At 39.9% G+C, this 26,333-nt stretch overlaps 1 protein-coding gene, 1 long non-coding RNA gene and 1 pseudogene across 29 annotated transcripts in view, besides 6 other annotated features; 1 reads left to right on the forward strand and 2 right to left on the reverse strand.

The window, feature by feature from the left end:
* The window catches only part of DENND4A (DENN domain containing 4A), a 133,171-nt gene extending 109,882 nt beyond the window's left edge, over positions 1 to 23,289 (reverse strand). For 21 of the 27 annotated variants that reach the window (NM_001376920.1, XM_047432100.1, XM_047432097.1 and 18 more), the window contains exon 1: positions 23,006 to 23,289. The gene's annotated coding sequence lies outside the window, so the exon portion shown is untranslated. Of the gene's footprint in view, positions 1 to 22,944 lie in introns of all 27 variants that reach the window. The other 6 variants (XM_047432102.1, XM_047432099.1, XM_047432095.1 and 3 more) reach the window with 1 other exon arrangement.
* On the reverse strand, positions 1,246 to 3,150 carry LOC646358 (DnaJ heat shock protein family (Hsp40) member B14 pseudogene; annotated as a pseudogene).
* Positions 4,986 to 5,135: an enhancer, noted in NCBI's record as "active region_9603". NCBI's record gives its function as "activates an Ori minimal core promoter by ATAC-STARR-seq in GM12878 lymphoblastoid cells {active_cell/tissue: GM12878}" and the evidence as "EXISTENCE:reporter gene assay evidence [ECO:0000049][PMID:35858748]".
* Positions 8,302 to 8,351: an enhancer, noted in NCBI's record as "active region_9604". NCBI's record gives its function as "activates an Ori minimal core promoter by ATAC-STARR-seq in GM12878 lymphoblastoid cells {active_cell/tissue: GM12878}" and the evidence as "EXISTENCE:reporter gene assay evidence [ECO:0000049][PMID:35858748]".
* Positions 10,600 to 10,659: a silencer, noted in NCBI's record as "silent region_6558". NCBI's record gives its function as "represses an Ori minimal core promoter by ATAC-STARR-seq in GM12878 lymphoblastoid cells {active_cell/tissue: GM12878}" and the evidence as "EXISTENCE:reporter gene assay evidence [ECO:0000049][PMID:35858748]".
* Positions 22,846 to 23,175: a silencer, noted in NCBI's record as "silent region_6559". NCBI's record gives its function as "represses an Ori minimal core promoter by ATAC-STARR-seq in GM12878 lymphoblastoid cells {active_cell/tissue: GM12878}" and the evidence as "EXISTENCE:reporter gene assay evidence [ECO:0000049][PMID:35858748]".
* Positions 23,177 to 24,142: an enhancer, noted in NCBI's record as "NANOG-H3K27ac hESC enhancer chr15:66084519-66085484 (GRCh37/hg19 assembly coordinates)". NCBI's record gives its function as "activates a minimal SCP1, AML or CMV promoter by ChIP-STARR-seq in primed H9 embryonic stem cells {active_cell/tissue: H9 hESC(primed)}" and the evidence as "EXISTENCE:reporter gene assay evidence [ECO:0000049][PMID:30033119]".
* Positions 23,366 to 23,985: an enhancer, noted in NCBI's record as "active region_9605". NCBI's record gives its function as "activates an Ori minimal core promoter by ATAC-STARR-seq in GM12878 lymphoblastoid cells {active_cell/tissue: GM12878}" and the evidence as "EXISTENCE:reporter gene assay evidence [ECO:0000049][PMID:35858748]".
* Positions 23,469 to 26,333, forward strand: part of LOC105370866 (uncharacterized) — a 68,011-nt gene continuing 65,146 nt past the window's right edge. For both annotated transcript variants that reach the window (XR_932372.2, XR_932373.2), the window contains exon 1: positions 23,469 to 23,768. This is a non-coding gene — a long non-coding RNA (uncharacterized LOC105370866). The remainder of the gene's footprint in view (positions 23,769 to 26,333) is intronic.

Here is a 26,333-nt window from a genome sequence, read left to right on the forward strand (position 1 = left end):
AAAAAACAAAAAAAAAAACCCCCACAATTTTATGTATCCATTCTATTGTTAATTGACATTTGGCTGGTTTCCAATGTGAGGCTGTTATAAATGATTACAAAGTCGGATATAAACTATTATGAGTTTTCATGCATATAAAAACGCATAGATTTTTTAAAAATAGCTAAGAATGAAATTCCTAGCATATAAGGTATACACACACACACACACACACACACACACACACACACTCAACTGTGGTAGGTAATGCCAAACTGTTTTCCTAAGTTTTATAGTAAGACCTTATATTTGGTGAGTAAGATGGCTTAGAAATAAATAAAAACCTTTTTTCCTCCACAAACATAAACATTCCTCTGAGCTCTCTAAAATACTGATTTGTTGTTCCTGTTTTAATTCATTGCTGAATACAACTATATGAAAACTATAAAATGTAGTAAGGTTTAGCAGCTACATGCTCTGAAATCACTTCAGCCAAATTAAAATCCTGGTTCTATCCAGCATTAGATTATCAGATACGCAAATAAGCTCATGGCTTGGGTATTTTAAAATAAGGGACCAAAAAAAGTATAAATTCAATTCAAATAATTTGATGTAAATCACTTAATGAGGTACTCGTCATTTTAAAAAACCAGAAATATGCTGAGTTTGCTTATCTTTTGTTTATTTTATGGTTTGGTATTGATTTTCTTTTCTTTTTTTTCATTTTAGCAGTTTTATTCAACAGATGCCATAAATTAACTACATTCAGAAAAAAATTTAAAGAACAAAGCCACCCTATCCAGCATTCTTTCACTCACAAAGAAGTACCAAAGATATGTTTATGTTCCATTAACCGAGTATGCAGCAAATTCATTAAAATATTACAACTGCTAAACACAGAAGACCAGAAATCAAATAGTTTTATCTCCAGTATACAGGCACCAAAAACTTCAATTTCCAGCTGTTTTTTTTTTCTAATTCATAATATGGAATTACTTACAAGGAGCTTATTCCTATAGGATTAATTCAATTACTCAATGGTGAATAGATTTTAGCTCAGTATTTTTAAAGGAGGACTTGCTTTAAGTTACTATTCTACCTGCTGCTCTATTTCTGCTCACACTTGCATGTGGCCAAACAGATCATGCTCTGATCAGATAAGTATACTATAATCTACTTACATGTTTAGGAGTTGGCATAAGGTTAAAAGGCACAAAGCTGTATTTTAGTATTCATTTTTCTTATTACTTATTTGTAGAAGAACTTCTTTGGATCCTGCTTAAATGATCACCAAGAAACTGCAAATTTCTATGGGGGAAAATGTGAGTCCTCTTCATAAATTTTGGCAGCCCTTCAAGGACATACACATCAAAATTTGGTGGCCTTTAAAGTATTGGAATTGTAAATGACATAACTGCACTTTACTGTTGAAGACCCTTTTAGTTTACTATTTATAGCCATTTCCTCATATTTTCTTTAAAATCTATCAGTATAGCATTTCATTTCTATGCATGTATATGTATAGTAATTCATAAAACTAAATAGCAAAATGATATTCTACATCAGTTCATTTATCTCAATATATATTTTGGAATATAACGGCAATATTAAAAATATCAATTCCCTCTAAGCTGATAATACTATAAGATTTTACACAAAGTTAAAGTTTTTGTTTTTTCTTTTTGAAAAAGTTTCATTGTTTAAAGTCCACATATTTGACACCTTGATAAGGAAAACGTAAATGTGTCATATAACATTTATTCCATCAATTTAAACTGAAGTGTCTCACGGAGCAAAACACTAAAAGAATTTAAATAAAAAAGCAGTAACCTGTATGTACACAAAGTGATCATTCCATAAATCTTTACATGACAAGGGAAAAAATGGAGAATCACTAAAACTGGAAATTGCTACAGGTGTGATAATCCTTTCTCAAGACATTTTAGTTAGGAATCATGCAAGCTTTTAAAATGAAAATAATTGTAGAAGCGTAACTAAAATATTCCATTTTAGTTTTCAGTTACTATTTAAAGGAGCCAGTAGGTCATAAACAGTCCAAGATTTCAGGAACCAACTATTCAGTTTAATTTTCAGTATCAGATCTTTCCCTTCATCTCTCATGATGAAACTAAACTTACTTACAGAAAAAATAAAGAGTACGCTAAAAGGTATAAATAAAAATTCCAGTTCATCCTCCTTTATAAAGACCGGTAAGCCGCTCTAATTCTTTACAGTTGTCCATGCTCAAGGCATCTGACTTCCTTCGGAGTCGATCACCACGGTATACTTTTGCTGCATACTGCATATCTGTTTTTTGTTGTCTTTCTTTCCAGCAGTTATTTCGAATATTAGTCACATAATCTTCCTCCACACTCTTTTCTGCCTTTTGTAATAACATTCCTTTATATTCATTTTTAAAGTCCTTGCTGACATAATAAACACCACCCAAGTTTTCTGTCTGCGTTTTAATAGTTTGCCCTGTTCCAGATCTGGGATAGAAGGAATAAGGAGGATTACAGACCATCAACTGGCTTAATAATGACACGAGGATCAATACAATTATGGGCATCAGCTGGATAAACACAGAAAAACCTCCATCTCCTCTTTCCTCTTCTCTTTCATGTCCACTATGTCAATGCTGATGTTGTTGGCTATAACCAGCTCTTCCATTTGAAAAAGAATGTATACTACCTGAAGGAAATCCACCCCCAAAAAATATATTAAACAAGTCTTCTGGAGTTATATCAACTTCACAAAACCTCTATGGAAATTAAATCTGCCATTGTTTTGGTGGTTACATGCTTGTTCTTCATTGCCCGTGAGGTCATACTGTTTTCGCTTTTCTGGATTACTTAAAACAGCATAAGCATTCCCAACCTTTTTAAAAGCATCTGTTGCTCCAGGTGCATGGTTTTTGTCTGGATGAAACTTCAAAGCAAGCTTTCTATAAGCTTTTTTCAAATCTTCATCACCACTATCTTTCGTAACTCCAAGTACTTCATAGTAATTTTTATATTTGTTTATGCGCAGGCCAAGGGCAGTGGGTAGAGCTTCTCGGCCTTCTGCAGGAAACGCTGGGCCTTCTCGCGGTTGCCAGCATTCAGAGCCTCCTGGACGATGTCGACACATTTCTCAGCTTCATCCCTGTTCCCCTCCATAGCTTGCTCCTTCGATTTTATTTTCAATTACATTAGCAACACCATTATCACTTCAATGTTTGGTGACTTAAAGGTCTAGAGACAGGAAATCATGACTCTGATTCTCTCATTCACTCATCTGACAAATATTTATTGAATACTGAAATGGACATGTATCAGTTTTATTTTTGACCATGTAGCATGTGAACTCCCTTTCTATGTTTAGAAAATCTGCCACTGTATGTATCTTATAAAAAAGGCTGGATGTCCGAACCAATCATGAAAGCAGAAAAAGACCAGATATTTGGCCAGGCACGGTGGCTCACACCTGTAATCCCAGCACTTTGGGAGGCCAAGGCAGGCAGACCATGACGTCAGGAGTTTGAGACCAGCCTGACCAATATGGTGAAACCCTGTCTCTACTAAAAATACAAAAATTAGCTGGGCATGGTGGCACCCGCCTGTAATCCCAGCTACTCAGGAGGCTGAGGCAGGAGAATCGCTTGAACCTGGGAGGCGGAGGTTGCAGTGGGCCGAGATCGAGCCACTGCACTCCAGCCTGGGCAACAAAATGAGACTCCGTCTCAAAAAAAAAAAAAAAAAAAAAAAAAAAAAAGACCTGATATTTGCTCTCCCTATTTAGGGACCAAGCACACAGATTGGTCAATTATATGCACTCATGCAGAATTTGAATCTAGAGCTAAAGTAGCAAAAACAGTTTAAGATTCATTCTCAGGGCTGTTTCCACCATGTGAGGATACACGAAGTCAGCAGTCTGCCACCCAAAAGTGGACCCTCACCAGAACCTGACCTTGCTGGCACCCTGATCTCGGACCTCCAACCTTGAGAACCATGGGAAATCAATTTCTATTGTTTCTAAGCAAAAAAAAAAAAAAAAAAAAAAAAAATCATTCTTAGAGCAGTGATATACAGCACCCAGTGGCAATGCTCCAGCAATGGCATCCAGTGGCATCAACGGTGTGTTCAACAGGAAAAGGATATGGCATAACTTTGGCTATGGTCTAGCCCTGAGGTTTGTTTCATATTTGTTCTCTGAGTCTGGTTCTCTAGTCTTCTAGTCATTTCTGTAAGCCAACCAATATGCTTCCAATAAATTCCTTTTCTTTTGGTTCAGCTAACCAGAATTAATTTCTGTAATTTGCAACCAAGAATCCTAAAATGGTACCTCTACCATGTGGTCTGAAGAACCAGGCACTAAAACACAAAGACAAATGAGACATGACCCTGCCTTACAGCGGTTTAATAGAGAAGGCAGACAAGAAAACAAGCAATATAATACATGATAAGTCTATAACAGGAGTAATCACAGGAAGCACAAGAAGGACACACAGCTTAGGCTTGAGGAGTCAAAAAAGAACGACACCATCTAAATTCTGAAATATCAGTAGGTGATAGAGGAGAGATGGAAGGGGATTCCACATGAAAGGAGGAACAAGCACAATGGATATCACCTTTTCTTTACTCATCATTTCCTTCCTGGACAGTATCAAAAGTATATTTGAATATACCTCAATAAAGTTAGAGGGAAACATATTTGAAAGATAACAGTGACAAAAGGAAGACTGGTCACTTTTGTCGCTTTTATCACAAACCTCATGCTTCAAACATACACACACCACTGCTGCCGCCTCCACAAATCTGGCCAAAACTACTTTCCTTCTCTCCTTCTCATCTCAGTCACTTCACAGAACAGTCAACCTGGGCTTTTTAGGGGTTTTTTTGTTTGTTTGTTTTTGGTTGGTTGATTATTTTTAATGGGGTGGAGGAGGAATCATGAATGAGTGGATAAAGGAATTGAAAAGAGAAGTAAAGGTGTTAATCAACTGTCATCAGGGTAGTGAAGCACAAGGCATTCTGCCAACTGCCTACACTGGTTTTGCTTAACAGTAGGTACAATTTTATGAAGAAAAATACTGATATAAAATGTTTTATTGGCTGGGTGTGGTGGCTCATGCCTGTAATCCCAGCACTTTGGAGGCCGAGGTTGGTGGATCACTTGAGGTCACGAGTTCGAGACCAGCTTGGCCAACATGGTGAAACCCTGTCTCTACTAAAAATAAAAAAATTGGCCAGGCACGGTGGCTCACGCCTGTAATCCCAGCACTTTGGGAGGCCAAGGAGGGTGGCTCACCTGAGGTGGGGAGTTTGAGACCAGCCTGACCAACATGGAGAAACCCAGTCTCTACTAAAAATACAAAATTAGCCAGGTGTGGTGGCGCATGCCTGTAATCTCAGCTACTCAGAAGGCTGAGGCAGGAGAATAGCTTGAACCCAGGAGGTGGAGGTTGCGGTGAGCCCAGATTGAGCCACTGCACTCCAGCCTGGGCAACAAGAGTGAAACTCCATCTCAAAAAAATTAAAATAAAAAATAAAAAAGTTAGCCAGGCATGGTGGTGTGCACCTGTAATCCCAGCTACTTGGGAGGCTGAGGCAGGAGAATCGTTTGAACCTGGGAGGCAGAGGTTGCTGAGTGAGCTGAGATCGTGCCACTGCACTCCAGCCTGGGCAACAAAGTGAGACCCTGTCTCAAAAAAATAAAATAAAAATAAAAATAAGATGTTTTATAAAATAACATATATATGCTATTTTCTCTAAAATTATAAAATTTCAGAATGACATTGATTTTAGAGATTATGTTTTAAAATTACATAGGCTTATACAATGTATTATTTTTGCTTTTTTTAAAAAAAAATTTTGTGGATACTTAACAGTTTTACAAATGTTTACTTTTTTTTTTTTTTTTTTTGAGAGACAAGGTTTCACTCTGTTACCCAGGCTGGAATGCAGTGGCACAATTATAGCTCACCTTAACTTCGAACTCCTTGGCTCAAGCAATCCTCCTGCCTCAGCCTCCCAAGTAGCCACCACACACAGCCCATATGTTTACTTTAATAAAAAATATGCACTTCATAAGCTTTATAAGCTCTACCATTTTCAGTCATCCACTGCATGAAGGTCCAGGCTTATACAGGAAAAACTACCATAAAAGTAAACTAACAAACCAACCACTATTAGAAAAATTTGAGACCCCATCTCTACAAAAAAATTTTTTTAATTAGCTGGGCATGATTGCTCATGCCTGTGGTCCCAGCTACTCAGGAGGCTGAGGTGGGAGGTTTGCTTGAGCCCAGGAGGTCAAGGCTATAGTGAGCTATGATCACACCACTGCACTCCAGCCTGGGGGACAGAGCCACACCCTGCCTCAAAAAGAAAAGAAAAGAAGTCACGGTGGCTCACGTCTGTAATCCCAGCACTTTGGGAGGCTGAGGCAGGCAGATCACCTGAGGTTAGGAGTTCAAGACCAGCCTGGCCAACATAGGGAAACCCTGCCTCTACTAAAAATACAAAAATTAGCCGGGTGTGGTGATGCATGCCTGTAATCCCAGCTACTTGGGAGGCTAAGACAGGAGAATCACTCGAACCTGGGAGGTGAAGGTTGCAGTGAGCCAAGATCATGCCACTGCACTCCAGCCTGGGTGACAGTGCAAGACTCCTCAAAAAAAAAAAAAAAAAAAAAAAAAAGCAATAAAGGAATCTGAAAGCAAATGATCAGTGACATCTCATTCCCAATTCCCAAAATGACATCAAAATTATATAACAAAAAGTGATTTGAGTATTCTACAATGTACAACTGCCTCTTGAAAAAGGCAATCATTACTACCATGTGAAGGACAGGTATGAAAAAAAGTTTTAGTTTAAGTTTCATTAAGTTAAATGGGGTAAAAATTCACTTCAGTCATACTGAACCATTTACAGTTTCCCCCTTTACACAACTCCATGCCACCTTTGCAAATTCAGTTCCTCCTATCAGAATATCTCTATTCCAATGGTCAACTGCTATGTAATATTGGAGACCTGCTCTTCGAAGCCTTCCTTACTGTTTTCTCCATGAGACCGTCATTCTCTTTTTGTATGCTTCTAGAGTATCTTGTACATATCTCTACTATGATTATCCCATTAATATTCCAATTATTTCTTTGAACATCTATTCTTCTCAACTAGATTATGCACTAAGAGTAAGCAATGTTACACCCCCATTTCTGTAAATATCTGTTTTAGCATACTCCCTGGCAGAGAGAAGTCAGTCAATAAATGTTTGCTAAATAAAGAATGATGTGATGTATTAATGGTATTAATATTAAAGAAGGTATATATCATCATACACATATGCTCATAAAATAATGACTCAAACTTCCAATTCTGTATGCAGAAGCTAATCACCTCCATTGTTTTTTACTTAAAAAAGGGAGACATTTTTAGTCTTCACAATAATCATGTATAGATTGGGGATGAAATAATTTAAGTTTCCTACTATATATAAAGCCACTGAGCAGTAACTTTTTTATTTCATAAAAATCATAATTTTTTTAATCATTAAGTATCCCTTTGTATCCACCACCTTTTAGAAAGTCTATTTACCTACACACCTATCCTCTGAGAATTGTATGTCCTGTATCATTCCCCTTCCATAAAAATTGGGCCTGAAAGCCATGTTTTATGAACCTTTGGCTTCATCGGCCACAGTTGATTAGACCAGAAAGAGATACCTGCCTCAGACTCAATTTTCTCCCAGAGGTTCAGAATGAAATCACAGAACCATGAGCGAATATATGAATTTAAGAGTTAGAAGACATGTCCATCCACGTGCAGTGGTGAAAGACAACATGCAAAGTAAGAAAAATGAAGTGGAAAAGCAGGAAGACTCAGAGAAATCATGCTACCCCAGGGTAGTAAGAAAATAGCTGCATGGGGCTGGGCACGGTGGCCTGTAATCCCAGCAAGTTGGAAGGACGAGGCAGGAGGATCACTTGAGGCCAGGAGTTCGAGGCCAGCCTGGACAACACGGTGAAACCCCATCTCTACTAAAAATACAAAAATGAGCCAGCCATGGTGGCATGTGCCTGTAATCCCAGCTACTCAGGAGGCTGAGGCAGGAGAATCACTTGAACCCGGGAAGCGGAGGATGCAGTGAGCTGAGATAGCACCACTGCACTCCAGCCTGGGCGACAGAGTAAGACGCTGTCTCAAAATAAAGAAAGAAAAAAAGAAAATAGCTGCCTGGGTTATAAATTTCCAGTTCCTGGTTTCCCTTCCCCTTCATGAGTCTTGGCTGTACTTCTATCATCGGGTACTGTGAAAACTCCAGCATCTTTGCCTAATGGGAACTAATTTCCCTTTTTGGGTAAGCCAGCTTACATTTTTTAAATTACAAACAATTTTTTTTTTTTTAAGACAGAGTCTTACTCTGTTGACCAGGCTGGGGTGCAGTGCCACGATCTCAGCTCACTGCAACCTCCACCTCCCAGGTTCAAGCGATTCTCCAGCCTCAGCCTCCCAAGTAGCTGGGATCACAAGCACGCACCACCACGCCTGGCTAATTTTTGTATTTTTAGTACAGATGGGGTTTCGTCATGTTAGCCAGGCTGGCCTCGAACTGCTGATCTCAAGTGACCTGCCTGCCTTGGCCTCCCAAAGTACTAGCATTATGGGTGTGAGCCACTGCACCGGGCCACAAACAAAAAAATTGATTAAACAAACCTCAAAAAAGAAAAGCAAAATATCAGTTAATCAAGGAAGCCAAAAAAAAGTTTTGTTTAAAAAAATGGCTGTTAGGCTGGGCACAGTGGCTCACACCTGTAATCCCAACACTGTGGGAGGCCAAAGTGGGCAGATCACAAGGTCAGGAGTTCGAGACCAGTCTGGCCAATACGGTGAAACCCTGTCTCAAATAAAAATATAAAAAGGTAGCTGGGCATGGTGGGATGCACCTGTAGTCCCAGCTACTGGAAGGCTGAGGCAGAAGAATCGCTTGAACCCGGAGGCAGAGGTCGCAGTGAGCTGAGATCAGGCCAATGCACTCCAGCCTGGGCGACAGAGGGAGACTCCGTATCAAAAAAAAAAGGCTGTTAAGCTGGTATCTTCAGATATTCCTCAGCACAATAAAATGAAAAATATTCACCAAACAGCAGTTTCAAACAATATTCTATAAATCCAACTTCAGTGTAGTTATGAGTAAGTATGAATAAAATTCTATTACAAAGTTCTGGTGTCCAGAAAAAATGAGAGATTAATAGGGAATTTCTTAGACTTTATCTGAACAAATTATTTTTTAAAGAAAAATAATATCAGTTACTACAATTTTGACCAAAAAGGGGGTGAGGTTTTTCTTCTCTGGTGATAACAGCCAGTCTTATCTAACAAGCCAAAGTAACACTGTATAGTTTCCCCCACCCATCTACACCCATTTATCTTAAAAACATGACATTTCAGAGTCCTCAACTAAAATACTCAGTGGTAAAATACAGTGACCTAAAAAAAAAAAAAAAAAAGCGTTCCCCAGTACCACAGTCATTACAGCTATACCTCAGAAATACTACAGGTTAGGTTCCACATCACTACGATAAAACCAATATCACAATAAAGGAAGTCACATGAATTTTTTGGTTTCCTAGTGCATATAAAAAGTTATGTTGCAGGCCAGATGCAGTGGCTCATGCCTGTAATCCCAGCACTTTGAGAGGATGAGGCGGGCGGATCACGAGGTCAGGAGATCGAGACCATCCTAGCTAACAGTGAAACTCCGTCTCTACTAAAAATACAAAATTATCTGGGCATGGTGGCACGTGCCTGTAATCCCAGCTACTCAGGAGGCTGAGGCAGGAGAATCGCTTGAACCCAGGAAGCAGAGGTTGCAGTGAGCTGAGATCACGCCACTGCACTCCAGCCCGGGTGACACAACGAGACTCCGCATCAAAAAAAAAAAAAAAAAGGCTATGTTGCTTTCAGCTCAGAGGAGGCCAACATGCAATTAAATACTGACTGCTATAAAAAGGATTTTAGGGCCCCATAAGGTGGTGCATGCCTACAGTTTCAGCCACTCAGAAGGCAGAGACAGTAAGACGGCTTGAGCCCAGGAATTTGAGGCCAACCTGGGAAATATGGCGAGACCACATGTCTAGAATAAATAAATAAAAATTAGAAGGAAAAAAAACCTTTGTTAATCTCAAGATACAAATTCAAGAGAAGGAAAAAGGCCAGGCGCAGTGGCTCACACCTGTAATCCCAGCACTTTGGGAGGCCGAGGCGCGTGGATCGTCTGGGATCAGGAGTTCAAGACCATCTTGGCCAACATGGTGAAACCCCGTCTCTACTAAAAATAGAAAAATTAGCCAGGCATGGTGGTGCACACCTATAATCCCAGCTACTCGGGAGGCTGAGGCAGGAGAATCGCTTGAACCTGGGAGGCAGAGGTTGCAGTGAGCCGAGATTGCACCCCAGCCTGGGAGATAGAGTGAGACTCTGTCTCAAAAAAAAAAAAAAAAGAGAAGGAAAAAAAAGCTGTTTTTTAGTTTGTTTGTTTGTTTTGTTTTTAAAGACAAGAAACTGTTGCTGAGGCTGGGGTGTGTGGCACAATCATAGCTCACTGCTGCCTCAAACTCCTGGGCTCAAGTGATCCTCCCACCTCAGCCTCTACAGGGGAACACTACCATGCCTGGCTAGCTAGGTGGTGTTTTTCGTTTGTTTTCGAGAAAGAGTCTCACTCTGTCACCCAGGCTAGAGTGCAGTAGTGCGATCTCAGCTCACTGCAACCTCTGCCTCCTAGGTTCAAGCAATTCTTGTGCCTCAGTCTGCCAAGTAGCTGGGATTACAGGCATATACCACCATGCCCAGCTAATTTTTGTATTTTTAGTAGAGATGGGGTTTTGCCATGTTGGCCAGGCTGGGATTACAGGCGTGAGCCACAGTGTCTGGACTTTATTTATTTATTTATTTATTTTTGGAGAAATGGGGTCTAGCTATGTTGCCCAGGCCAGTCTCAAACTCCTGGGCTCAAGTGATCCTCCTGCTTGGCCTCCCAAAGCACTGGGATTACAGGCATGAGCCACCACACCTAGCAGGGAAAAAAAAAATTTAAGTAAAGATTTATTGTAACTGTTTACAATAATGGAAGAAGGCAGAGGTATCAATAATTTTTAATGACATATTGCGGGCTCGAGAGATCCGTACGCCTTGGCCTCCCAAAGCGTTGGGATTACAGGTGTGCACCACCCCGCTAGGCCCATTCTGTGCTCTTGTTCAACCTTTCTCTGTAACATGCTTTCATTTATGCCCGAATAAAAAAATATAGTCTTAGTACAGCTACCTCCCTCACACCTTAATCCAAAAGAGAAAAGGCTAGTTAAATGCTACAGTACAGATTAAATGAAGATTAAAAGTAAGTAAAGGGCATTCCTAGAGTTTAAACAGTGCTATTAATAAGAAAAGTATGCTGAATTTTAAATAAGCAACTAATTAAGTGGTACAATTAAGAAATACTAATCATCATCAACACCAATTTCAAATTTGTGACAGGACACCAAATGTTGGACCTCCTAGAAAGACTAATGGTCAACTTTCCATGACATTTTCAAAAGCTAGGGTTGTGTCTTTGATTTTAAAACCCAGGATTAGTTGGTTTGTTCTTTCATTCACTAATTCATAGCCTGGTGGAGAAGATACATAAATTAAAATATTTAAGGGCAACGATAGTTATAATAGCTTACTTACTGAATATTTATTAGTCATAGGCATTGTTCTAAGTACTTTACTTGCACTAGCAAACTTAAGCTTCACAAACACCTTATGAAGGCATCAATAACCCCATTTACAGGGAAGAAAATGAGGTACACAGAGTTAACACAGTCAAACAGCAAAGTCACGTTTCAATCCCAGACAGTCTGGGTCTGGAACCAACTACTTTATCCTGCTTCTCCAATACTATAGTTCATTCCATAAATTCTTACTGAGTGCCATGTCTGGTCTGGGTGCTTGAGCTATAACATAGTTACCAATAGATTATTCTGGGAGGGACCCAATTATCCAGGCAAGAGTATGGATCTGAGAAGGCGTTCTAGAGAAAGTAATGCCCAGCTGAGTCCTAAAAGTTGTAAAGGAGTTAGGTAGGCAAAAAGAAAAAGGAAGGAGGAAACAAAGGCATTCCAGGCAGAAGGACTACATAAGCAATGGTCAACAATCCAGAAATAGTACGTATATTCAGCAAATCTTCAAAAAGTAGCTCTGCAGAGTTGGAGTGGAAAGTAGAAAGCAGAAATTACTAGAGTTAAGATTAGAGAACCAGGTAGAAGCCAAGTCATGGAGAGTTTTAATGACATACTAAAACCTTATCATGTTGACAATGGGGAGTCAGTAAAGAATTTTCAGGTTTATGTTTCAAACATACCATTCTGGCAATTCTGAGAAGGTGAATCTCAAGGAGATAAAACCGAAGACAGGAAAACTACGAAAAAGTAAGGAAATAGTTCCTAATAACGCAGAAGTTGGAACAAGGATGCTGGGGAAGTGACTGATTCAAAAAATATTTAGGAGATAAATCCAGCAGAATTCAGTAAATAAATGGATGTAAGGAATGAGAGAGAGAGAGGGAGATGGAAGAAATCATGAATGATTCCAAAGTTTCTTCCTTGGTTGATGAAGTCAACAGTAGTCCATGATGTCTTTGAAAGAAAAACTATAGATAGGTAAATAAAGTCCAGTTTGGACAAGAAGAGATGAAGTGAAGGCGATAAATAAAATAATCTAATCTGATGCTTTGGAAAGATACTGATGCTGGAAAAAATGGCCTGGGGAGTAATGGGTAGATACATGGTAACTGAAACTATAGGGATAACTGTAACTTAGAACAATGTGAAGGCTGAGAAGAGCAACTGGCCAACTCAGAAACACCACTGTTTATGGGACAGGCAGAGAATACACAAAAGGGGATGGCATAGTGGAAGTAATGGGACAGAGTTTCTTGAGAAAGTATTATTGTCACTGGTTACTTTACAAGAGCAAGTTTAGTGATATGAAAAAGTAGAAATTAAACTACAGTGGGATAAAGAGTAAATAAGAGAAAAAGGATTTTAGGGCCCCACAAGGGCCCTTGTCATTGATACAGACAACTCTATTTTCTCATCTGCAAAACTGAGATAGTAGGTGACTGTGAATACTAAACAATGTACTACACGGGACCTCACATATAGTAAGTGTTACAGGCCCTCATAGACTGTTTTCACCCTTGTTCACTACACCTAGCCACATCAGGTGCCTTTCTGCTCTCAAACATCCCAGGACCCTTTGCATTGCAAGGCTTTGCACTTGATATTCCTCTTTCCTCACTCAGCTCTTCACATTTCTGGCTCCTTCTTGCTTGTCCAGCGTCAATCTCCCAAGAGACGGCTTCCCCAAGAAGTACTCTAAGGACCCTCTTTCGTTCATTCTCTCAGATCACCCTGTTTTACTTCCTTCATTACCCTTACTACTCTTCGAACTTTTCTTATTTATTTAAAGATAATATGCCAAAGTGATTAAGAGTGCAGGCTCCACAATCAGACTGGTTGCAAACTGCAGCTTTGTCATTTACTAGCAATGTGACCTCGGACAAGTTGTTTAACATCTCTGTGTCTTAACTTCTTCAACTTTAAAATGGGCAAAATAACACACACACATACACACATACACATACCCTGAAAACAAAAAAATAAAATAAAAATAAATGGGCAAAATAATTATTTACCTCATAGACTTCTTGGGGGAGTTAAATTAGCTAAAACATACAAAGTTACCACAAGAATACAGGTACATTTTAAGCTTTCAAATATTATTACATATTTGTTTAGTTGCAGTAATCTTAATGCTCTATCAAAGAGCATTTATCAATATGTACCACTAAAAATATCTGAAGCAATAATAATTCTTAGTCCAAATGTAAAGATGTCAACTAACAACCAAATGAAGCAGTGCTATTCTGACTAAACCTCAGGAAATACTACTGATGGAAGGGATCTTTTTTTTTTTTTTGGTCACAAAAGTCAGGAGGAAAAAAAAACACATCTAAAGCTAAAGATCTTTAGTTGGGCAAGGGAAATTTTTTATAAGCTTTATATATAATTACCATGTAATTTAGATCAATTTATTAAAAATAAAATTAAAATACAGATGTCAGGGGAAAAGGTTTGATTTAAGTAACTTTGGGAAACTTGAAACTGGAAACTCTAACAACAAAAAGAACTGTATATAAGCACTGTTCTTTTTTGGTAAAGGCATTTCTCATGGAGATACAGGTTAACAATTCTAAAAGTGCTGTACATGGACGATGGGACTGAACAAATAAGTTAATAGATGTCAGATGGCGTGAGCCAGATTTCTCACTTTTGGAGAGGGAGGTAATAGATAGCAGAGTAAAGCCAGAATGAACTATATAGTACTGATAGTCAAAGTCATCAGTATGAACTCATGTTTACCTCAATATAGATACAGATAATAGTTATATATGTGTATACATACATATATTTTCCAGGTCTATACACTGAAAAGGCCTAGAAGTCATGATATTCCAACAGCAATGAGCACACTGAGTAACCAGATCTTGGTTTCTAACATGATTCACCAAAAAATAGAACCAGGGATCCTTGGAAAAATGGCTGATTCTAGGGCTGGGGCAGGAAATATACAAGATGAGTCTGGAACTTCTTCTAGTGCCAGAAAGTAAGGAAGTACTCAAAAAACAAAACAATGGAGTATGTCCTGTTGGTAGAAAAATTTGAGCAACAAAATAAATAAAGTAGTATAGGATTATGACCCCAAGTATAAAATAACCATCTATGAGTCCATACATATATAAATAAATGATTGAATAAATATATAAACGGAGAAGAAAAAAAGACTATCCATAGCAGAAGAATTCCAAATAATTTTATAGACAGCTCCCCTTTAAGAAAACAGACCTACTGAGTGTGGTCTACAATTAATGACTTGTTTCCAAAAAGACGAGTACGGGAAAACAATACAGTAAAGAAACCTGGCAAACACTAGCTCAGCCTGGTGACCGAGGTTAACAATATCAGTGATAAGCCGTACTGATAGTATTTCCCCTTGATATGATGCAATGAGAGCGGCACTTTATCTCTGTGACTCTCCTCCCCCAAACCCATAATCCCAGTCTAACCATGAAGAAAACATCAGACAAACCCAAACTGAGGGACATTCTACAAAATCCCTGACCAATACTCCTCAAAACCATCAAAGTCATCAAAAACAAGGAAAGTCTGAAATGCCATCACAGCCCAGATAGGCTAAGGGAAGATGTCAACTAAATGTATTGTCGTATTCTGGATAGGATCCTGGAACCAAAAAAGAACCTTAGGTAAAAACTAACAAAATCCAAATAAATGAATTTTAGTTAGTAGTAATGTACCAACATTGGTTCCTTAACGGTGACAAATTTAACATTGAAATGTCAGACACTGGCAACATGACGAGACCCCCATTTCTTACAAAAAAAAAAAAATAGGGGAAACTGGGTGCAAGGTATACCTTAACTCCCTGTAACTTTTCTGTAAATCTAAACATATTTTATAAGAAAACATTTATTCAAATTAAATAAAAATATGGGGAAGTTGTTGCCTTAACCAATCTGATTTTAGTCCTTTAAGGCATGTATAGTGGGTTGGACAAAAACAGAAATACAGGTAGTATTGTGCAAAATAATCTCAACATTGATGAACCATTTATAATACTGTATGTGTAAGTGCCTATAAGTCATTTTTTTATGTGCACATTTTGATTCCTTAATTGGTAAGAACTACAGGAGCAGAAAGCCCTCCTCCAAGCAGGAGGAGGCCACTCAAATTTGGGACTAAAGCAAAACTGTGGTACTAATTATATTAATAAAAATTCCACCTGGGCCGGGCAATGGTGTCTCATGCCTGTAATCCCAGCACTTTGGGAGCCTGAGGCGGGCAGATCACTTTAGGTCAGGAGTTTAAGACCAGCCTGACCAAGATGGTGAAACCCCACCTCTAACAAAAAATACAAAAATTAGCAAGGCATGGTGGTGTATGCCTGTAGTCCCAGCTACTTGGGAATTGCTTGAACCTGGGAGGCGGAGGTTGCAGTGAGCCACCACTGCACTCCAGCCTGGGTGACAGAACGAGACTCTGTCTCAAAAAAAAAAAAATCCACATGGCTTTTGTAGTGGTAAATATTTTTTTTGTTTCTAAATGAAAGCCGAAATACAAAGATCAGAAATTTATAAAGGCTGGGCATGGTGGCTCACGATTATAATTCCAGCACTTTGGGGGGCCAAGGCAGGCACATAGTTTGAGACCAGCCTGGGCAACATGGCAAAACCTAGTCTCTACAAGAAAAAAAAAAAAAAATTAGCCAGGAATGGTGACATGTGCCTGTAGTACCAGCTACTCGGGAGGCTGTGGTAGGAGGATCATTTGAGCCCAAGGGGTTGAGGTTGCAGTGAGCCATGATCACATCACCGCGCTCCAACCTGGGTGACAGAGCAACATCCTGTCTCTAAAAAAAAAAAAAAAAAAAATTATTAAATTCTTTTTGTTGTTATATTGTTTTGTACGAGACATTTTTATTTTTGAAAAGTTTTAAAAATAAAATTACCGAAAAATGTAGTATACACTCACATACTCATATATAAAGCATTAACATTTTTCATTTTTGCTTCAGATATATATTTAATAAAAAATAACTACGTATATAATAGTTATCACATTGAATTCTGAAACACTGAAACACTTCCTCATGGTCTCAGAAAAGGAGCATAACTAAACATACTTGGAGAAAGTACATTGGAAAGCTCACTATCAACAATATATACTATAGGACAAAATTACAGTAACTTGGGTCCATATTGGTCACTGTTCAAGAAATCTGGAAACTTCAAAAGCCAAATAAAAATAAGTTTTCCTAACATTTGTAACTATCCTGAAAATACCTAAAAACAAACAAAAAAACTTACAAATCAGTAAGAAATCAAAGAATTTGATAACCCTAACTGCTGGCAAGGATATGAAAAAACAGAAATTGTTTGCAATATCCTATAAATATCTTATAAAGGGAAAAATATTTATATCCTAGGACCCAGCAATTTGACAGTCAGGTATATGACCTGGAGAAACTATGGCATGTTGCTTCAGGAGCTACAAGAATATTCATGAGGCAATGTTTATAATAGATAAAAAATGAAAACAATTTAAATGCTCATCAATAGAAGAAATGATAAATTGTATATATTCATTCACTGGAACACTATACAGCTGTGTAAATAAATGAACTACACCTACAGTATCAACAAGGATTGAGGGCAGAAAAAAATAAAATGAAAAAAGCAAGCTTTAAAATCCATTATACCATGACACAATCATATTAACAGCTGCTTAAACTTACTAGAACATACATGTTTTGTTTTTTTTCTAGTGCCAGGCTCAGTTTTTACCACCTTATATAAATTAGCTCATTTAGGCCAGGCACAGTTGCTCATGCCTATAATCCCAGCACTTTGGGAGGCCAAGGCGGTAGGATTGCTTGAGCCCAGGTGTTTGAGACCAGCCTAGGCAACATGATGAAACCCAGTCTCTAAAAAGAAAAAAAAATTAATAAAAATAAGTAAAACAAATAAATAAGCTCATTTAATTTTTACAACAATTCTATGAAGTGGACACCTCTATCATCCCTATGTGATAGATGAGGACACTGAGGCATGTAAAGAATTAAATAACTTACCTAAGGTCACAAAATTAAGTAGCAGAGTCAAGATTCACACCAAGGGAGTATGATTTGAAATGTACTACAATGTGCATGTTCTACAAAAGCACCCAAAGCAATGCCATGTCATTGCTCATATATATAGTTTATTAAAAGATAAACTAGAAGGATACAAATCAAATTCATTACAACAATTTCCTCTGGGAGGGGAGATGAAGGTGAGGAGGATAAAACTGGGGAGAACAAAAGGGACTTTAACATGATCTGTAATATTCAAGAAAAGTATAAAGTTCTACATTGCTCTTTTAGAATTCAATGTGATAACTATGATATAAATAGTTATTTTAAATTAAATATATATCTGAAGCAAAAATGAAATATGTTAACATTTTATATGTGGGTATGTGGGTGTATACATTTTTGCTATTTATTTTTAAAACTTTTCAAAAATAAAAATCTCTCATCTACAAAACAATATTACAATAAAATTAAGAAATTTAATAAAGTTCTGATCTTCATATTTCAGCTTTCATTTGAAAACAAAAACAGCTAAACTGTGTGAACTTATGTATGTATATACACTTTAACATACATATGGAAAACACATTTTTACACAGATCAAGAGAGACAGGTTTTAACAAAGTATATCAGAAACAGTATCTCTCTTACTATACATTTTAATGACTCACTATTCTCAGTGAAAATAAAGTATAACACTAGCAGGAAAATTCCCTTGATATCTTTCTACCTCTTTCTTTTTTGTCTCTTCTCTCTCTTGCTTTCTACTTGTGATTTTTAACAGAAGGAAGCACAAAGTAGGAACTAAGAAAGTGTCACACATTTTAAAAATAATAACGGCCATAGATGAATATATACCCAGCCCTTCTAAATATAGCATTCCCGAACCTACAATCAAGTAATGTTTCAAAAATTTATTTGTAAATTTTTTGTCTAGAACTCACAGCATACCTTCCCATGAAGAAAGTTACAAAAGGATATGAGCACCAGGAAAAAGATACTGCCTAAGGTGCCAGGCTACTGGCAGAGAAACAGGAAAAGCAGAGTACACAATATGTACTGATGGTCCAGAAAGCAAAAAAAGCATTGTGACCCAGGGTCTGAGGGCAGAAATCACTATTCATTTATTTACCTTTGTAATCTCAGTAACTAGCAAATTATCTGGCATCTCATAATCAAAGACCATTGCCTACTGACTGATGAAGTAATGGGGAAATGACTAAGCAGAGGAATCCATCAATACGTGGCACTGTCAACACAGAACAGCTTTGGTGGAGGAAAGAAAAAGCTTGGAGAGAAGCAATGTTTAATGACACAAAAATCCACATATGTAAAACTATTACAAGGTTAGTGCTGGTTATTTATTTATTTATTTTTTTTTTTTTGAGACAGAGTCTCGTTCTGCCACCCAGGCTGGGGTGCAGTGGCGCTATCTCTGCTCACTGCAAGCTCCGCCTCCCAGGTTCACGCCATTCTCCTGCCTCAGCCTCCCGAGTAGCTGGGACTACAGGCGCCTGCCACCACGCCCGGCTAATTTTTTGTATTTTAGTAGAGACAGGGTTTCACCGTGTTAGCCAGGATGGTCTCGATCTCCTGACCTTGCGATCCGCCCACCTCGGCCTCCCAAAGTGCTGGGATTACAGGCGTGAGCCACTGCGCCTGGCCAGCGCTGGTTAAGAGAACACCTTCATCTAAATTACAAGCTGTGTCTATTATTGTGTAATGCAAATAAGCATGATATTTTGGGTTAGTTTTGCTAACAATGAATCTTAAGATAGTTTTCCTACTGTAGCAATAGTTATTTGGGATTTTCAGTATTTTCTCCTATGACCCTTGAAAATATTTCAATGTCTTCTTTGTAATTATAAGAGTAATAACCGGCCAGGTGCAGTAATCACAGCACTTTGGGAGGCCAACGCGGGCAGACTACTTGGGCTCACGAGTTCAAGACCAGGCTGGGCAACATGGCAAAACCCCATCTAAAAAAATACAAACATTAGCCAAGCACAGTGGTGCACACCTGTAGTCCCAGCTACTTAAGAGGCCAAGGTGGGAGGATGGCTTGAGCCCAGGAGGTGGAGGTTGCAGTGAGCTAAGATCACGCCACTGCACCCCAGCCTGGGTGACAGAGCCAGGACTTGTCTTAAAAAAAAAAAAAAAAAAAAAAAGTAATAATTATTCAGAATAGAGAAAAGCACAAAAACTAAAATAAAAATTACCCATAATCCGATCACCCAGGGATAACATCTCTTACTATTTTATATGTCTCCTGCAAATCTTTTTGCCATTTACATGTATATGTTTCTTTATATTCTAATTTTTCTCTTAATATTATATTATACTTATGTCAGTACATTTTTAAAATGATTTTTAGAAGTTGTATCCACCATATAGATTATCATTAATTTCACCATTCCCATACTATAATGCATTTGACTATTAAAATTGTTCCACTCTTATAAAATGCTAAGTTTTAAAAAAAACTTTTGTTTTTTGAGACAGGGTCTTACTCTGTTGCCCAGGTTGGAGTGCAGTGGCACAATCATAACTCACTGCAGTCTCAAACTCCTGGGCTCACGGGATCCTCCTGCCTTGGCCTCCCAAAGGGCTGTAATAACAGGCGTGAGCCACCTCATAGGGCCTAATCACTTCTTAAAAGTACATTTCTACATTGGTCTTGTAGAATTCAAAGTGATAACTATGATATACAATAATAAAGTGTGGTGTGCTTGACTCCCTCCACGCCCAGCATCCTCCCACAAATTCTACTGAATAAACAATCAATATAGGGTATTAGATTAAAAAAAAAAAAAAGGAAGAAAAATGTATCAGCTATTCTCAGTCACTCTTCTTCTACCTGTGGTAGGAAAAAGGAAAAATCCCACAAAGATAAGTCTCTGACATCAGAGAAGGCAAGAATAACAAGTCAATTTTCCTGCTAGAGCAACTTTTGTTTTCCACCTAGAACAACGCACCATCAATTTAAGTAGGAATAGCACAAGGTTTATTATATACCAAACAACTCTATCTGCATCAGTGCTTTAACTAGGTTTTTGTAGGACATAGAATGCTTTGAAAAATTCTGCAAACAACAAAATATAATGTAACTAATATCACTCAGTGGAAAACCAAGTTTTATAATAGCAGTTATAAGAGTAATAACTGGCCGGGTGCGGTAGCTCACGCCTGTAATCTCAGCACTTTGGGAGGCCAAGGCGGGCAGATTGCTTGGGCTCACGAGTTCAAAACCAGTCTGGGCAACATGGCGAAACCCCGTCTCAAAAAATACAAAAATTAGCCAAGCACGGTGGTGCACGCCTGTAGTCCCAGCTACTTTTATTTTACAATTCTATTAATCCCAGCTAATTTTATTTTACAATTCTGCCATAATTTTTTTAATGAATTAATAAATGTCATGTAGTCTCTTCTTCTAGCCTCCCAATTATACTAAATACTATTCAAGTTACCAGAAATAGGACAACAGTTCCAGGAACTTGAGAATCAATAACTCTTTAAACCAGTGGTAATTCATGTGGAAAAGTTCAGAACAAATCAGCATCAACTTCCTGGCTCTCTTGCACAGACAAAAAATTCATATTGCTTCACCAATTTTCAAAAATGTAAATTTGTGTATATAAGTTTAAAACTTGGACCAAAAGTTATCTACATTTATTCCCAATTTGCGACTGGTATCAAGATCAATTAACTTTCTCAGCAAGTACACTGTTATAAAATTCCACAGTGATCCCAGAATGGAAGGGGCTTAAAAAATAATATAAAACAAAAATTAAACTCCACAGTGAAGTAGGTCTATGTTTAATCATTCAGAAAAAGAAAATTATGTAACATATTATATATAATGATGATGATAACATATGCTGTTCTGGACTCCTACTGAGAGCTGTGGTTCAAAGGGAAATCGTGAAAATAAAGTAAAAATTGCCGAAAATGTTTAATTCTGCCCAAAACAGTTTCCAAAAAAGAAGCCAAATATAATATTTTATTTTAAGTTCAAACAGGGTTCAAACAGCTCAGAAATTTTGTATACTTAAGTTTTCAGAAGTCGAATCCCAGAACCGCTATCAACATAAACTGAATAACTTGCTCAAGAGTCCTTACTTATTACCCAATCTTAGGTCCCCCAGAATACTTCTTAAAATAATCCCAAATGTACTACAATAGATTAGCGTAACCGGGGCTACGCTGTTTACAGGTGTCTCCACCTCCTCCCCCAAGGAGAGAAGAGGTATACTAGGGTAAACAGAAAATAGAAGGAGACTATATACACACCAAATAACAGCTTGTAATCTTCTAAGACTTCTTTTACATTCGGGCTATTCTTTTCATTAACGTATAATACATTTTAAAGAATAACATATTCACAGAGTAATACAATTTCTGCCCTCACGGGTCTCTAGCTGGCTGACACGCGTTTTCTCCTCAAATAAATACATGCCTGTTGACTGATGCCTGTCCTGCTGTTGCAAACAAGAAATAACTGTCCTATAAGACAAAAACCTCTCTCTACGGTTCTAGGCGTAACCATACGTTTGAATTAAAAGCACATTGGAACAACAACAACAATCTTCCAGCACATCTGTCATTTAAAAGCACGATAATGAAAAGCTGTCGCTGCGACCCAATTTTAGGTCACAAGCTTTTTACTGTTTTTCCTGCCCCCCACCTCCAGAAAACAATAAACTTCAAAGGGAATGGTGGTAACCAGGAACAGTTCCCTTCCCCCACCACACACCCCCCCAAAAAGACTAGAAAAAAAACTGGTCAACTTGGACGCTGGCCGCGCTCACGCAGAACCCGTGCCCGCGGGCCGGGGAAGGCTGAACAGACCCTGGGAGGAAAAGTGGGCCTGCAGGCACCCCGGGCTCCCCCCGCCGCCTGTCTCAGATACCGAGCAGGTGGGATTCCGGGAAGCCACCTCCGACTTACGTAACGGGCTTGTCAAAATCCCAGATCCAGGACCTCCCCCTCCCCGCCCCCACTCCCAAATAACAACAGCCCCAGGCCAGCCTGGAATAGAAAATCTGGAATGAAAACACAGGAGCCCCCCACGCGTCCGACGCAGAGGCGCGGGTGCTACTCTCAGCACCGCCGCGCCATCCCGGGGCGGACCGAGCCGCGGAGCACCTCCCGGATCTCAGGAGCTCTCGGGCGGAGATCTCGGCCATCCGTGCCTCCTCCCCGAACCCACCCGCCCCGCTCCCGCGCCCCCGGCTGTCACCTCTCCGGGCCGTGACAGCTCCACCTGCCACCGCTGCCCGGGTCGCCGCCCCCGCACTCACCACCCAGCTGGCTCCCGTGCGAGCAGCGGATCGAGCTCGGAGAGCGGCGCCGGAATCCCGCACGCGCGGTAGCGGAACACGAGGGGCTGAATGCCGCGGCGCTCTGAGCCCGCTTAGCTCATCCCCAGCCCGGCGCTCCGCCCTTCGCGGCACCCCCGCCCGCCCGCCCAGGCCTGCCGTCTCAGTCAGACGGGACTCCCCCTCCCCTCGCGGCCGCCACTGCCTCCGCCTCTTTCTCCGACTCTAGCCTCCGCGGCCACCGCGACCGGCGCCATCTTGGCAATGACGGAAGGGGCGGGGGCGGGAATCACGCCCGCGAGCACCAATCGAAGGCCGGATCTGGCCCGAGTGGGAGGAGAGGGCCGAGTTGAGGGTCGTGGGGTCCTAGCGCCAAACTGATAATGGGGCGGTGAAGGTGGGCGGGACTAAGTCGCCTTAGTCCGTGACGTGCGGTGTAGTTGGGGAAACGCACCGTGGTTCCCCGTCGGGTCAGGAGATCCCGAGCCCCAGGCTGGCGTGGGCGAAGCGTACAATCCCTTCACCTTTCGTCACCCAGAGGCACAAGAATCCAGTTCGCGCCAACTGACCTGTTTCTTCCTTCCTCCCCGGCACTCTGGGAGTCCTGAGATTGCCTTGCTCGGTTCGTCTCAGACTTGCTAGATCTGAGCAGCTGCTGCTCCTCCACCAAGGGTGCTCACATTCTCCAGGAAACTCCCTTAAGGGTTAGCAACCGCCGAGTAGGTTTCGGTCCCAAGATAGAAAGGTAAAGCGGGGAATTCAGGGGGTTTCTCCGAAAAGTACGTTGATGAAACAGCTATTGTTGACTGACGGGGTGTCGATTACTTTGGATTAATTGGATACGGCCTACTTAAACCTGACTGTGGCTCTCCACCATTGATGGCTGTTGACAGATGAGGTTAATAAAGCTTGATTACCCCCATGGGGTTGCTCGGGAGTTAAATTCTATAGTACCTGTGAAGTACTTAGTATAGTGCTTGAAAGTACTCAATAAATGTTAGACATTATTCCATGGACAAATGAAAGAAGAAACAGGACCCCCAAAATCCCTCTGCTTTAAAGTCAACTTTTCCTAAATTGCATAGCCTTTTACTAACCAAGTTTACAACTTTATTTCCTACCTCCAGTTCTTTCATTGTATTCATTCATTCAGTCAACAAACATCCATACAGAGGGTGCACAGTGGTGAGGGAAACAGAAAACCTTTGCCTTCAGGAAACTGCAGTTTAGTGGGAGAAGAGGGACAATAAAAAAGTACTTAAGCACATTTTAAGGGGAAACATGCTATAAAGGTTAGAAAAATAACTGAGGCCAGGCGCCTTTGCTCATGCCTGTAATCCCAACGCTTAGGGAGGCCGAGGCAAGAGGGTCAGCTTGAGCTCAGAAGTTCAAGACTAGCCTGGCAAAATGGCGAGAACCCTGTCTCCACCAAAAATACAAAAAATTAGCCGGGCGTGGTGGCGTGCGCCTGTGGTCCCAGCTACTTGAGAGGCTGAGGTGGGAGGATCGCTTGAGCCCCAGAGCCGGAGGCTGCAGTGAGCCGAGATTGTGCCACTGCACTCCAGCCTGGGTGACAGAGCAAGATTTTGCTTTAAAACAAAACAAAACAATCGAGTTGCATACTTTAAATATATGTAGTCCTCTGTATGTCAGTTAAAGCTGTAAAAAAAGACTTGTTTTTGACACAGAGTCTTGCTATGTTGCCCAGGCTGGAGTGCAGTGGCCTGATCACGGCTTACTACAGCCTCCCTCCCAGGCTCAATTGATCCTCCCACCTCAGCCTCTGGAGTAGCTGGGACTGCAGGTGCCCACCACCACACCCAGCAAATTTTTCTGTTTTTTGTAGAGACTATGTCTCACTATGTTGCCTAAGGCCGGTCTTGAATTCCTGGGGTCAAGTGATCCACCCACCTCAGCCTCCCATAGTGCTGGGTTTACAGGCATGAGCCATTGTGCCCTACCTTAAAAAGCTTTTTTTAAAGTCCAGTTGGGAACCCTCCCAATTCTTTACCCATTGGACACAGATTTAGCCTTTCATTAGTTTTAAGTGTTGCTAGACGTATCAGGTCAATTCCTCTTTAAGGAGTAGCTTGGCATATCAAAATATTCCACTAGCAGCAAAAGCACTCTTTTAGTTGGTTATACATGTATATGTGCATATATATATATATATACACACAAATATTTTCATCTACAGAGTACCAATTAAAATGTTATATAGTTGCATGTAGCATACACAATGAGATTCTAAAACCTTTCAAAAGTTTAAAAGGCGTGAAGGTTTTTTTAATCAGAGAAAATAGCTTCTTAAAGAACAATATTGATAAACAGTAGAAAACCAATACGCAGCATTTGACTGTGTACCCAGGAAGTATCGTACCTCAGAGCCCCCCTTAACAGTCATATCAGGAGTCCTCTCAACACTCCAGGCATATGTGACTATAGTCACAGTTAAACCTAAACCCTAGATGTGATTTGGGCAAGGGATTCTAACAATGTAGACATGAGCCAAATAGAATTTTTTGGATAATAAATTTTGGCCCCATGCCATTTCTGAAATTGTCATATTTTATATGTTGAACTGTATCCGGCTATTTCTTAGAAGTTATTTTAAAATGCTGTGATTTGAATGATGCATGAAGGAAAACTATGAAACCAATAACCATTTAAAGCAATGGAAGCGCAAGCTGTTGTACAGCCTAATCCTCTCCACCTGTTGAATCTATGCACCTTAATTGCTATACCAGAAGTTTCTCACATCTTTAAATGAAAACCTGGAGCCTCTAGAGAGCAATCCTTTTTTTTTAAGACAGAGTCTTGCTCTGTCGCCCAGGCTGGAGTGCAGTGGCGTGATCTTGGCGCACTGCAACCTCTACCTTCTGGGTTCAAGCGATTCTCCTGCTTCCCGGGTAGCTGGGATTATAGGCGCCCTCCACTACGCCTGGCTAATTTTTGTATTTTTAGCAGAGATGGGGGTTTCACCATGTTGGCCAGGCTGGTCTCGAACTCCTGACCTCAGGTGATCCGCTCTCCTCAGTCTCTCAAAGTGTTGGGGTTACAGCCATGAGCCACCACACCCGGCCCATAAAGCAGTCCTTGATAGCTATGCTACAGGGCTTCCTTATGGGTGAGAAAAACTACCAGGGATCTATGGCCTATTAGAAACTATTTAGATGTGTCACAAAGCAGAATCCATATTGACAAATTGTATTCACTGTGAAACAGTGTTTGAGTGACATTCCAATGTATTTAATCCAAAAACTAAAATTTATTAGCAATGTGGTCAAATTATCCATTTGTTTCTTAAAAA

Source organism: Homo sapiens, chromosome 15 (assembly GCF_000001405.40).
Source record: "Homo sapiens chromosome 15, GRCh38.p14 Primary Assembly".
NCBI lineage: Eukaryota > Metazoa > Chordata > Mammalia > Primates > Hominidae > Homo > Homo sapiens.